Here is a 13,865-nt window from a genome sequence, read left to right as displayed (position 1 = left end):
CATGAGGGGCACATAAGATGTTGGATGCTGGCAATACAGAGCATAGCAAGACCCACCTGCTTCCCTTCTACAAATTCCAACTCTTACTTAAGTGTAAAACATTGTATGATTTGGCAGAGAAACTAGTGAGTATTTTTTGAATCTCATACACTGTACTTAAATCTAGCTTTCTTATATTTTCGTGTCTTTTGTTTGTTTTCTGACAGTCAATAACTTAGAGTTAATTAAAAACAGCATTTTCACCTTGATTTAGGATGTAAGTACATGTCTCAGTGAAGTCAGTTTTCTTTAGAAACCTTTTACAAGCATTTTTTTTAGAAAAAAATTAATAGCTATAAATCTGTATATACACATCATTCAGCCATGACATCATCAGGTAGATGCATATAAGTTCTGTCTCAAATAACTGACAAATATTTTAATGTTCCTATATGCCAAGCACAATTCTAGATGCTGAGGAAACATCACTGAATGAGATTTTTTTAATGTACTTTAATCACTTCTGATATTCTTTCCCAAAATTCATAACCTTAGTCTAATCACGAGAAAATATCAGACAAACCAAAACTGAAGGTCATTTGATTAAATATCTGACTAGTATTCTTCAAAAGTGTCAAGGTCATGAAAAGCAGAAAGAGAAAGAGGAAACTGTCACAAATTGGGGGAGATTAAAGAGCCATAATGACTAAATGCAATGTGAATCCTGAATTGGATCCTGAAACAGAAAAATTATGTTAATAGAAAAACTGGAGAAATCTACATGAAATATATAGTTCATTCGATACTATTGTGCCAATACTATGAAGATCAATTTCTTGGTTTTAATCAATGTACCATGATTTTATAAGATGTTAACATTCGGGAGGCTGGATGAAGAATATATGGGAATTATCTCTATTACCTTTGCAGCTTTTCTGTAAATCTAAAACTATTTCAGCTTCAACATGTTTTAGAAAATCCATGCCTTCATAGAGATTAAATTCTAGTGGGGGAAGTAAAACAAACAAAATAAAATGAGTCAATAATATGGCATAAGCAAGACTGGATAATTGTGAACATTCTCAGACTCTTTAAATCAAAAGATACTGAAAGTTCAAAATGGCTACCCAACAGTGGCAGTGAGAAAAGGCTGTGTATGTGACTCTACAACCTTTTGTTAAAATTCCAAGAGATTTAAAGGTCAGTATTTTCAGTCATTCACACACAAAGCCTTTTTGATATTTTGTTCATCATGGTTTTTTTTTGCATTAAATTTGAGGTTGTTTTTAAATTACGTTAAAATATGATTTTGTGGCATCCACTTAAAATTTGGCTCACTGAAGACTTACCCTACTCACCACAGCCTTAGGTGTTATTATGCCTATTTTATAATTAAGGAAACTCAAGCATAGATAGGTAAATAATATTGTCCAAGGTCACATAGCTATGAAGTGGTCAAACTGGAATCCAAAATCTATGTTCTTAAACATGATACTACACCATTTTTTTTAAATACTGATAACTTTTAAAGACTATTGCAGTTTGGCCATAGATAGCAGAACGTAGTTACTTGGGTACCTCTGCTGTCACTTCATTATCTGAATATGCACCTTCTTACTACCACAACCTCCAGCAGACCTTCCTGTTTCATTGCTAAGTGACTAACTAACCTTCATAGTAAAGCAGGTCATCAGACACATGGGTTTTTTGCTGGAGTCTCAGTTAGTAAACCAGTTCCATACTCCAAAGCTCTTCCATGAAATAAAGGGCCTGGACTTAGTGTGACCTATTTTTCTCCTTCTTTCTTTTTTGTTGGCAGCTCAATTGTCTATAAATCAGATAGGCAAAGTAACCAAGTATAAGTGGCAAATATGGTGCATTACTATATTGATTGTGAACTCCAAATCGGTCCTAGAGAAAGGTTTTGGTCCAATAATTGGATTGACTTGTATATGGTCAGGCATCAAGAATAGCAACAATGCATACCACTGAAATGGTTGTAGTTTTAAAAGCGGGGGAAAAAACCAATACTTTTGTTTAGGTAGAATAAAAAATAGATAAACCTCCCAGGATATTTATTAGGGAATTTTTGCTATAACCAATTTCCAAGTGGCTCCTACATAGTTCATGGTTAGCGTGACACATGTGGTCAAAATATACACAGGCACACTTGTGAAGATCCTCAACTCAACCCTTTCACTGCCCAAACTTCCGCAATTTCTTTCCCACCAGCTGGCTGATTTCTAAGAGTCTTAAAATAAAGTACAAAGCCTTTCCATCTGCAATAGGAGTTAAATCTAGAATGCTAGTGTCCTTGAAAAAAGGAGAGCACATGACTTTAATTCACCTCAACTTCTAAATGGAAGCTATTAGATCTTTTACAAAGAGAAGAAGAGAAATGGGGAAAGTGAGCTTTATAGAGTTCAAAAGGCAAAAAATATGCTGACTTCCTTCAAAACATTGTCCATGATGGTTCTTACAAAGGTGCTATTTCCTGCCTAGAGCATTTGTGTGGGAACCCATCAGTGAAGGTCTGCTTAAGGTTCTACCAGCATATTCTTTCCTGGAATATTGCAGTAATGTGCAAAATAAGCACATGATTATTTGCAAGGGTTAGAGGTCCGGAAGCCATGTAGAATTACTCAAGAACCCTAAAGAAGCCTCAGATTACAATATTTCTTCTGCAATAGTGAATCCAGAAGAATCCAATTTAAGATCTTGCCAACCAGAGCCTATTATAGTTTGGGGATAAGGACAGAGAGAAGTAAGTTTCCTTAGTCAGAGTTACTGTGAATCTTTTCACTTCTAATTATATCACCTTTAATGACAGCTTCCTTTTACCACTGAAGGAGATTAAATTTTCCATGACCTATAAAGTCCCGCATGGACTGGCTGCACAGCTGGCCTCTCCAGCTTCAGCTCATGTGACTTCCCAGCCCCTCACTGGTTACTCTTAGTTCTTCAAACACCCAGTTTCTTTCCTCTACTTGGATCAGTCTTCTCCCTGTTCTTGCCCTGGGCCACCCCTACCCATCTTTCAGATAGTAGCTGTCAAATCTCACTTCCTCAGGGAAGCATTCTCTGACCTCTGGGGCTACTCTAGGTCTCCTGACCATGTATGGTCATGCTACTCTGCCCTTTTCAACATGCTTAGTGCAACCACGCTTAAATAATTATTTGTCCAATCATGCATAATCACTTGCTTAAGGCTTATCTTCATCACCCAGTCTCAGTAGAGCAGAGACCTCATCTATCTTGCTACTGACTACCCGCAAAGACCAGAACCATGCCTACCACAGAGTGGATGCTCAATAAATATTTATTATATGTATAAATGAACTAAAGATAGTTTTTTAGACCTAGAAAAGTCCTAGGATAACCTAGTTCAATCCCCTAATTTATAGGAGAAACTAATGTCTAAGTAGGTTCACTGCCTTGCCCAAAGCCTTACCCAAAAGCAAAATTAGAGATAGAATCTAAATCTCTTCACTCTTCCAATACACTTTTCTTTCCTGTCCTGATGGAAATCGCCTAGTCTAGTGATTCATCACACTAGAGGAGAAAGCAATTTCTGGCAAGTTATTCAGGACTTTAATGAAGTTGCAGGCTTGTTTTATTTAATACTCAGTTTGTTTAAAATGAGTCCCATAGTCTGTGTTTGTTCCACCATTCCTCATTGCTGGATCAAATGTTAATTATCAAGAAGAAGAGATAATGTGGCAGTTTGGCAAGTTTTTGCTGAACTAGCAAATGTTTAATAGGATCACAGATGGAAGCATTTGCATGTGGGAGGGATTTTTTTTTCCCCAAGGTTTTGTTCTAATTAAAAGTTACCAGTTCAAACCAGGTTACCAGTTACAGCAAATAGAAGTTTGTGCATTCTAGAGCCTGAACAATGCTACTGTTTCTTCACCATATTCATCTCTTGCCTTTCCCACACTTGACAAGCTGAGAAATATTTAATAGCCACTAGGTTCATGAATAAAACAGAATAGTTACAAAGCTCTTTCATGATTGCCCCTGTGCATTGGACAAGCAGTGAGTTTTAAGGGACCAGCAAGAAGGAACATTGCTTGTATTTCTTTTTCAGTCTGTGGTAATAGCTCATTTCAGGTAACCATTAACTGAATGTCTTCCCTATGCCAGCACGGTGTTCGGTGCTGGGGATGTGAAGACAAATAGGGCTCCAGAAAAGTAGGGGAGAGAGGCATAAAATTATTTAATTTCTGTACAAAGTGCTAAATGCAGGGATAGAGGTATAAAGACGATGCTTTGGGAGCCTGGATTGAAAGGGCAATGGAGATTCCTTCTTCTCAAATGAGACCATGCCTAATCCAAAGTTTAAAGGATCAGAGGAATTATCTAAGTAAAGAGAGTGGAAAATAATTTCTAAGGCAAGGTTAGAACAAGAAGAGAGGCATGGAGTGGTATGTGTAAAAAGAACACAGGCTGAGCTACCTCAGAAGAGAGTACACTGGCAAAATAAAAAGAATAATAACAATAAACAAAGCTATTATGAACTGTCAAATCTCTATCATTATTTTCAACATATGTTAAATCAGTGCTTCCAAAACTTAATTTACATTTCATCTTTACAATTCTTATTGTAATTGCATGCCACCATTTATTTATTTACTTAATATTCTTCCATAAATCCATCCATTTTAGCCTCCCCAAGGGAAGATTATCAATTAAATCAGTGGTTTTATCTACTAGTTTTATTTTTCTAATACTTATTAAGATAAATACATAACTATTAAAATATAAAAATGCACGCCAACTGGAAACATCTTAAATCCAGCTTTTAGCCAAAGTAAGGGTCACGTGCCCCTGGCTGGATTTAAGTGAGAGGTGTGTGCCCCTGGTACTAGAGTAAAGAAGAGACTGGCTAGTTCATAATATGTTATGCCAGCTCAGCAGATTGATTTGATTAGGAAGGGTGATGTGGAGTCCAGCACAGCGCTGACTTTAATGCATGATCCCCACCATCAAGGTGCTGAATGATGGCTTAGATTAGTTTTCCTGTTCGTAAATCAGTAATGATACTGACAATGACAGGAATAAGAGCTATCATATGATGAGTGCTTGATGTGTGGCAGGCACTGCACTTGGCACTTTACATTCATTTGCTCATGAAATCCTCACAGCACTTTATAAGTTCTATTGTTATACCCATTTTAACAGACTCACAGAGATTAGATGTCTTATCAGAGTTCTAGCTTTTTGGTTAGGAGAAAATATCACAAGAAAGCTGCTTCATGTAATTGAAAGAGAACTTTTCCCAGACTTAGAAGGCCAGGGCTTTGGTGCCAACTCAGTCATTCATTCACTATGGACTGCAGAAGAGTCTCTTAAACTCTCCAAGCTACAGGTTCCCTTCTGTGAGGCGTTTACACTCAATGGTCTTTTAGATTATTTGTAAACTGGAGACTCTTCATCTATTTCCTTATCCGTAAAGAGGAGCTGGTAATACCAACCTCACAGGATTATTGTGAAGATTAAATGTGGGTAAAGTGCCTAGCCCTATAATTGACACCTAGTAGAATGCAATAAGTGGGATTATAAATAAAAATAAGATTAATCATAATCATCTTGATAACGACTTTGATAATCTTCAAAATAGATAATTTATCCCCAAATAAATATGAGTGAATTAATTATATCACCATATAGAAAGGAGTGTGCTAGCTGACTATCTTTTTAAGCAGGTCAGTTCAGTTTGATTTCTACATGCTTCCATATGTTTAAATCAGAGGCTGAGTACATACCCTTCACTGGTGTGGTAGTTAGCCTCCAAGATTATCCCCATGATTCTAAGTGCCCTTGGTAGTCTCCTTCTACATTAACAAGGGCTGACCTGTATAACCACTAAGATATTATGGAAATTGTGTGACTTCTGAGGCTAGATCCTAAAAGACATTATGGCTTCTGCCTTACTCTCTCAGGGATTGCTCATGAGGATACTCAAGAAGCCCTGTAGAGAGGCCCACATGATAAGGAGCCATGTGAGTGAGCTACCTTAGCTGTTGACCCTCCAGCCACAGTCAAGCTTTCAGATAACTGCAGCCCCAGCCAACATCTTGAATGCAATCTGCTGAAAGACCCTGCACCAGTACCACTCAGCTGGGCCACTTCCAAATTCCTGACCTACAAAAACTCTGAGATAGATGGTTGGGTTTTGTTAAGCCACTGAGTTTGGGGTAATTTGTTTTATAGCAAAATGAATTACTGCAAAGATTAAAGAAAATATTTTTTAACTGAAAGCATATAGTCTCAGTGGTACGTCTAATCCAGGCCACCAAGAAACTGTGAATGTTCAAAGGGAGGGCAGAAGGAATGGCAGAAGAGGCATGAAGATCTCTGCAGCACATGAGGGAAAGCCCTTTGGCTCTCTAAGAAAATCTTCCTAGTGGCAGGAATCAGCAGAAATTTTCAACAGGTTTTGCTCACCAAGTGTAGGGGCTCTTCAGAAGCAGCAGGGATGGCACCAAAGGAGATGCATCTGCAAACATATCAAATCTACCAAAAGTCTTTTCAGCAGTACCAAAGTTTAAGGCAATAGTTTGGAATGAGTCTTATTTGGACAGCCAAAGCTTCATCTTACCAGCTATTTAGTCCTGATGATTTTTGAATAATAAAATATGTTAGAATAATTTTCCACTTAGCAATGGTCATTCATGAATGGGCAGCATTACCATTCATATCCCTCTGTTAAAAATAGGCTCATTTTCTTGCTTTTAAAAAATCTCGTTGTATATTGTGGGCATAGATTTGGAACACTGTGAAACGTGGTTAATTTGGTAGCACTTTATATCATGCCATCTTGTAATAATGCCTCTTAGGAAACGGCCTTAAGGATATTATGCAAAAGGTACTTTGAAGAGGGTGGAGAGGAAGAGATTACAACTTCCCTTTTGCAGTCAGCTCCTGTCTCTGATGTGTAACCCTAGTGTCTACTGCCTGGTTTGCCTTTTTCTGTATTGTCCGTGTAAATACCATCCTGGGTCTTCTGATTTGAGAATCATTTTCTCCTACTGTGTTTTGGAGAAAATTGAGCATGTGTTATATCTAGTCCTGGTCAGTGTCATCTCCACCCCCTGCCTTAGCTCCTTTGGTCACCCTTTTTGAGAACCATTTTGCCACCACCTTCTTCCTTCATTTTCCAAAGCCCCATTAACCCCAAAGCTAGTCAACTTGCTGTGTATGGGGATAATAGAAAAGTATTCACCTCAGCTTAGACATGTCTCATTTTCATCATTTAGGTTTCCCTTTAAATGCCACTTTAAAGGGCTTCTAGGACCAATCTTTCAAAAGTGGATCCTGCCTAGTTATTTGCCAACAAAATACTCGGCAAATACCTTTCCTGCCATTCACTACAGCCTATAACTACATTTATTTACTAATCCTAGAGGCAGACTACATGAGTTCTAATCTCAACCTCACCATTTACTAGCTAAAGGGTCTTAGGCTAGTTAATTTTTTTTGTGCTTTAGTTTTGCATCTGTGAAATGAAGAGCTCATTGTTGTGAGGTTGTTGTGAGGATTAAAGGAGTTAATACATATAAAGCACTGAGAACAGTGCTTGGTGCATATTTAATGCTATATACATATTATAAATATTATAAATATTACTATTATTATTCTCCCCCTCCCGAGAACACAAAATCCTGGAAAACAGAGATCTTGTCTCTCTTTTTAACGTTGTAACCCCAGCTCCAAGCATATGGCCTGGCCCATAAGAAGATGTTTCCTTGCCAGAAATTAACACGGAAAGCCAGACATTGCTATTCTCAATAATTTACAGCAACCCCATCATGGGAAATTTCTCCATGGCCATGTTTTCTTGGATTCTGCCTGTCATTACTTTGCTCAGGCCCATCTGTCTCCTAGGCTCTCCATCTCTCCAGATGCAGGTGCAGACCCACATTTCTTGTTGTTTACTCAGGCACAAAAATTACAGCTTTCAGCTCCCCCTTAGACTATGCTTCAGGTCTATCCTTGCATATCCAAATACCGGATTTCTTTTCTTTTCTTTCTCTCTTTCTCTCTCTCTTTCTTTCTTTCTTTCTTTCTTTCTTTCTTTCTTTCTTTCTTTCTTTCTTTCTTTCTTTCTCTCTTTCTTTCTTTTTCTTTTTCTTTCTTTCCTCCTTCCTTTCTTTCTTTCCTCCTTCCTTTCTTTCTTTCTCTCTCTCTTTCTTTCTTTCTCCTTTCTTTCTTTTTTATTATCTATCTATCTAATCTTACATATATATGTATGACCATTAGCCATCAAAAATATGTGAATATGGTTCATCCCCTAAGAGGAGGAGACAGGGTATTTTTAACAACATTTTTTCTTCCTATACTAAATTATTTATTTCTATTAAAAAAATTATGTTATAGAAAATCACATCAAAAAACAGAAAATTAAAAATTACAGAAATCTATATTAGATTATATGCATAATCTACTAGAAAATATGGAATATTCAAAATTTTAAAATATAAGTTAAGTTTTCCCATAGATCCTCCATATAATATATATACAAAATCACTGTCAACATTTCTGTATGTTTCCTCCACTTACTTCTAGTCTTTTCTTTATGGCTTTGGCGTGTGTGTGTGTGTGTATGTGTGTGTGATAGCAGGGGTGTAACCAGTCATACTGTATCATGACCTTTTCATTCAAACTTCTGTTTTTAAAGTAAGTAAAATATTTATTTATATCCATCCCATAGATATAATTGTGCATCTACTGACTAGAATATCAGGCACCAGACAGAGGTTGACACCATGAATAGGACAAGGCCTTCAGATCCCAAAGTTCTTACCCATATACCACGCAGCCACAGCCTCCATGACTTCAGACTAAGGACTAGTGAAGAGTTCAAAGCAGTACCTCACAGGCAGGTTTTGTGTTAATTCCACATGGAGACCTCCCATTACAATCACAGACTTATTTCTTCCAAATGCACTCTGGTTGCTGCAATACTGAAAGGAGGTTTACCTGAAAAGTGTCTTCCTTCCTCCATGTAATGACTGTGCAGACTAAAGAGAATGGATTTTACAGCTCAGGCTAATTATGTAGTATTAACACAGTGCTATCAGGGGAAAGTCTGCTGCCTGCTTGTGCTAAAAAGTCCTCCCACAGCTCCAAACCTGTACACTGTTTGTGATGATTTTGATTTCCCAGCTTCACCCACACCATCCCCCAACGCAGAAACTCTCAAGAAGAGAGACTTTGCCTTCTTGGGTCACCATCCTCTGACTTCTTTTAGTTCCCTAATTATCCAACTCTTACCCTCCTCCAAGCTTTTCTCTTGGCTTTTCTTCTACGCAGCTGCTTTCCCAGAACTATTCACTCAGATGCTAGTCCACGGTCACGTTGAAGCTGAAATACCAGAGATCTCAGAGAAGCCCCTCCTGACCAACCTGTGCAAAGTAAATTTCTCTTATTATTCTTTCTCTTAGCACCTGGGTTTTTTATTTTGTCTTCCCATTATTGCACTTGTCCAATATTTGTTTGATTTCTTTTTTTTTTTTTTTAACACCCATAGAACTAAGGATCCTTTGGGGGCATCCATTTTAATATTTTTAATATGTATAGACTTTTATTGGATATGTCTTTTCAAAATATAAATTGTTTTGTGTACATGTATTTTTAATTTGTGCAAGTGGTACTTGGCTATAGACCTTATTCTGTTTTCTCCTTTTCTCACTTTGTTTGTATAATATATTTTTTCTTGATTATGACTGCTACATAATAATCAATGGTGTGGATCTACCACATTTTCCTCACTCCTTCTCCTAGTGATGGGTACCTCTAGCTCCCTGCTACCACAGACAATATTTCTATGAACCTTACACATGCCCTTTTGTGAACCTGAGAGAAATCCACTGGTATGTAGAACCTGCAACAGCACTGGTAGGTTACTGGGTTTGTGGCTTATGTAGAGCTAATTTGACCAATTTGGGCCTAGTTCCTTGCAAAAAAGCTACAGTGGTGCACAGTCACACCAGCAATACATGGAGGGTCCTGTATTTCCACATTCCCTCCAACCTTTGGCGATATCCAGCTTCCTAATTTCTGCCAGTTTAATGGGTATAAAGTAATATTTAATTGTTTTAATTTGAACTTTTCTTGATCATCATGATTTTGAGCAGCTCATTTCTGGGTTTGTTAACTTTTGGAGTTTCCTTTTCTGTAAATTTTCTATTCAGATCATGTACTCATTTGCAATCTTTTTCTTCTTGATTTACAGGACTTTCTTGCTTATTCTAAAAGATATTAGTCTTCTTTTTCTTCTTTGACATTACAAATACCTTATCATATTCTGGCAGCCTTCTGTTAAATATGTACATGGTATCGGTCACTGACAAAATTCAATCTAGGTGTAATAAAATGCATCACTATTTAAAACCTGACAGATTGTGCTTTTAGAGGTTGATTTACACTGTCTGTGTTCTATGTGTTGGCCTCATTTTTCCCTATTGTACATAGGCTTCTTCCCTGCAATGACGGAAGAGGGCTGCCAGCAGCTCCAAGATTAAAAAGTCCTAGCTTTACAACCAAGCCATCAAAAACTCTGGGTTTGAGTCCTATTGGCCTAGCTTGGGTCCCATGCCTACACTGGGCAGCCAAGCAGAGATAGCCCTTGAGGTCACCAGCACCATGGCTTCAAACCCACTCAAAACACAGGGATTAAGAGATGGGAATGGAGTGATATCTCAGAGGAATATCAAGACATTTTTTTTCAACAGTAGGAAAACGAATGCTGGGCCTGCAAAATCAAAAGATGTTCATTATAAAAAGGCACTGTCTTTCTTATCGTTCATCAGGTAAATTAGTATTGTCACATTCTCCAGATACTTTTTCTGGTCCCCATCCCCAGACTCAGTTTAACATTTCTTAAACATTCTATAGTACCCCTGTACTCATCTGATAGAACTCGGGGATTTAATCCCCAAAATGGGTAATCCAGTCAGGAAGCAACCAAGGAGATCACCCAGACCAGTGGTTCCCAAACTAGGCTGAGCATTAGAATCACTCAATGAGCTTTAAAAATACAAACTCCTAGGCTTTGCCGAAAACCTGCTGAAATAAAAACGCTGCAGCGCGGAAACCTGGAAATTGTGTTTTAAAATATTATTTGTTGTCAGTCCACAGATGGAGAATCACAGTGAGAATCACAATCTCCTCATTTTACAGAAGAGAAAGCTTGAACCTGAGGGATGATCCCCCCAAAATGTAGTGAACTCGGGGCGCCTGATCTATTCAGCTGTTGTTGCTTTATGTGTGTGTTTTCTTGCTGCTGGACATCGAGCTCTCTTTGAACCTTTTGGAAAAGAGGCTAGTGAATACAAATGTAACTATCTCAGGATTTATCATTTGACAAAAAAGCTCAGGCTCTCATCTCTGTGCTTTATCTTACTCAGAAATCTTGGCAGACCTGCAACCATGGAAACACAGGTCCTACAGTCCACATCAACTCCAGATCTAGCTGCCCTGGACTTCTAAAGAGCAGTCTCCTGATGCTCGAGGAAGTTGTAGAATGCTTCTCGGTGCTTTCTATTCAGCATTGCAGGTGTTTAGGAGCTGAGCCTCAGGAGTCAGCCACTCCTGATTGAAATATTGGCTCTGTCACTTACCAGGTGTGTGACCCTAGGCGATGTGCATGTCCTCTATGTGATGCTGCATGCACCTCAGGGACTCTTTGTGAGGATGAAATGGGATAGTGCATTTCAAGTGTAAGCCCAGAACTTCACACCAAGAAAGTGCTCACTAAACATTGGGGGGTTCGGTCTTTTTTTTTTTTCGGGTGGGGGACAGAGTCTCATTCTGTTGCCAGGCTGGAGTGCAGTGGCGTGATCTCAGCTCACTGCCATCTCTGCCTCCTGGGTTCAAGCAATTCTCCTGCCTCAGTCTCTCAAGTAGCTGGGACTACAGGTGCCCACCACCTCGTCTGGCTAATTTTTGTATTTTTAGTAGAGACAGGGTTTCACCATGTTGGCCAGGCTGGTCTTGAACTCCTGACTTCAAGTGATCCACCAGCCTCGGCCTCCCAAAGTGCTGGGATTACAGGCATGAGCTTCCTTGCCTAGCCTGTTGAGTGTTGCTGAGCATTTTCTGTGTGCTAGTTCCTGTGCAGGGTGATGGGTTACAAGGATGAGTAAAGTATGGTTTCTGCCCTCTATGAGCTTAGTCACAAGAGGTTGAAAGATTAACTGGTAATGACTGGAAAGTGGTGGCTTCCGCTGACCTGGCTCCCTAGCCTGCAGAAGGTGCAGGAGTGACTGGAAGCCATAATCTCAACATGACCCCTCATGTGTGCAACAGGGGCAGCTAGATGCTCTGGTCATGAGATAGATGCTGTGCCTCTGCAGCCAGCTCCGTGCCAACCCAGCCCACAAGCCCAGGTAGAAGAAGCTAGGCAGCAACAGAGAGGCTTTGCTTTTTTTCCTCTCCATAGATGCAGTTTGTCGTCTTTTGTTGTAAAATACCCACTTCACTTTTCCCCCTTCAGAATTCCTCTCCCATGTTGCGTATTATTTTATGTGATAATCAGTCAGATGTGGCCACAACAGGAGACACAGAAGAGGCTCAAAGAAAAAAATATATATTGTAAGTACAGGTCTTAGAGACAAGAGGCACGCCCTGCAGGAGCCACATGGGAAACACACCGTGGTCAGGAGGAATGGTCAGGAGGCAGACGGCAGGAGCCAGGGAAAGGTTTAGGCCATTGCCTTTATTGGCATTTCCGTGGGAAAGGCAAGGCAGAGCAGAGTGAACAGTTTAGGTTTAGCCAGTTGGAATAACTTTGGTGAGCTTTGGGCTTTAGGGGTGGTTCTGAGTTTCCTGACACTTGGCTCTGGAATGATTAAGGCAGAGAAATATTACCTCCTGTGATATACAGGCCAGACAAAGGAGGCTTGGCTCTAGATTGGTTACTTTGCATATCAAAGACATGCATTCTTTCCCCAGCCAGAAAGGCTTAAGATGTCAAAACATCATAATATACAGACATTTAAAAAATATTTACCATACACTCCAGAGCTTAGACTCTGCTTGGCAGCAAAATCTTGATAGTCATTGCTCAATCCTTGCTGTCTTACTCTGTGTACGTTTTTGAGTTGAGATTGATGTTTACCCAGGGTGTTAGAGAAGCATAGAACAAGAAGCCCTCCTACAACCTTGGGGCTTAGATAGGAACTGTTGAAAGTATTACAAGATAACAGGGAACAATTTGTACTTTATGGAGTCTCTCTTTTGACTCCCATAACATAAGAGTGTGATGCATGGAAGTAAATAATTTTGTTAATCAGTGAGCCTCTCCAAGACAACATCCACATCTCATTACACCTTTATTAGTTTCTATGTTCTTGTGGAATTTCTCACTGAGAGTGAAAATGGGTAGATTAATTCCTTTAACTATGTTCTATGTATTTGGTGTGTGAATTTGTATGTTTTTGTGGTGGAAAAATATTTTGCACGAATTGGTGTGTCTTCCTTGGTATTTCCTTTTAACCCCTTCACCTTTCCCTAAATTTGCCTAAGGGGAGAGAGATTGAATTCTCCAGGGAGGACAAGACACAGAGTAAAAGATTTTGAACTTTAAAAACCATTGCCTTTGCATTTCAAGTCATAGGATTTGAGGGGGAGCCAGGCGTAGAGAAGGTAGAAGCAAATCTTCCTAGCCTCCTAGACTGGAAAGTTTGCTCAAATTAAGAGGAGGTAAGGAGGTGCAGGGAAGCGAGGAAGCTCTGACCCCAGTTTATATCCAAAAAAGTGGCTCTTTAAACTCTCTCTCCTCTGCCAATCCATGCCCAGATGGATGAATTTCTTGGAGTGGGGGTGACAAAATTTCAGATAGGTTTGAGGGATCTGAGTGAAAAAAAGAGCTGTGCCCA

At 39.1% G+C, this 13,865-nt stretch overlaps 1 annotated feature.

Moving 5' to 3' along the window:
• Window positions 12,670-13,171: an enhancer, noted in NCBI's record as "NANOG hESC enhancer chr5:143504731-143505232 (GRCh37/hg19 assembly coordinates)". NCBI's record gives its function as "activates a minimal SCP1, AML or CMV promoter by ChIP-STARR-seq in primed H9 embryonic stem cells {active_cell/tissue: H9 hESC(primed)}" and the evidence as "EXISTENCE:reporter gene assay evidence [ECO:0000049][PMID:30033119]".

Source organism: Homo sapiens, chromosome 5 (assembly GCF_000001405.40).
Source record: "Homo sapiens chromosome 5, GRCh38.p14 Primary Assembly".
Taxonomy (NCBI): domain Eukaryota; kingdom Metazoa; phylum Chordata; class Mammalia; order Primates; family Hominidae; genus Homo; species Homo sapiens.
The sequence above is the reverse complement of the archived record's forward strand: the minus strand, read 5'-3'. Positions and strand labels throughout refer to the sequence as shown.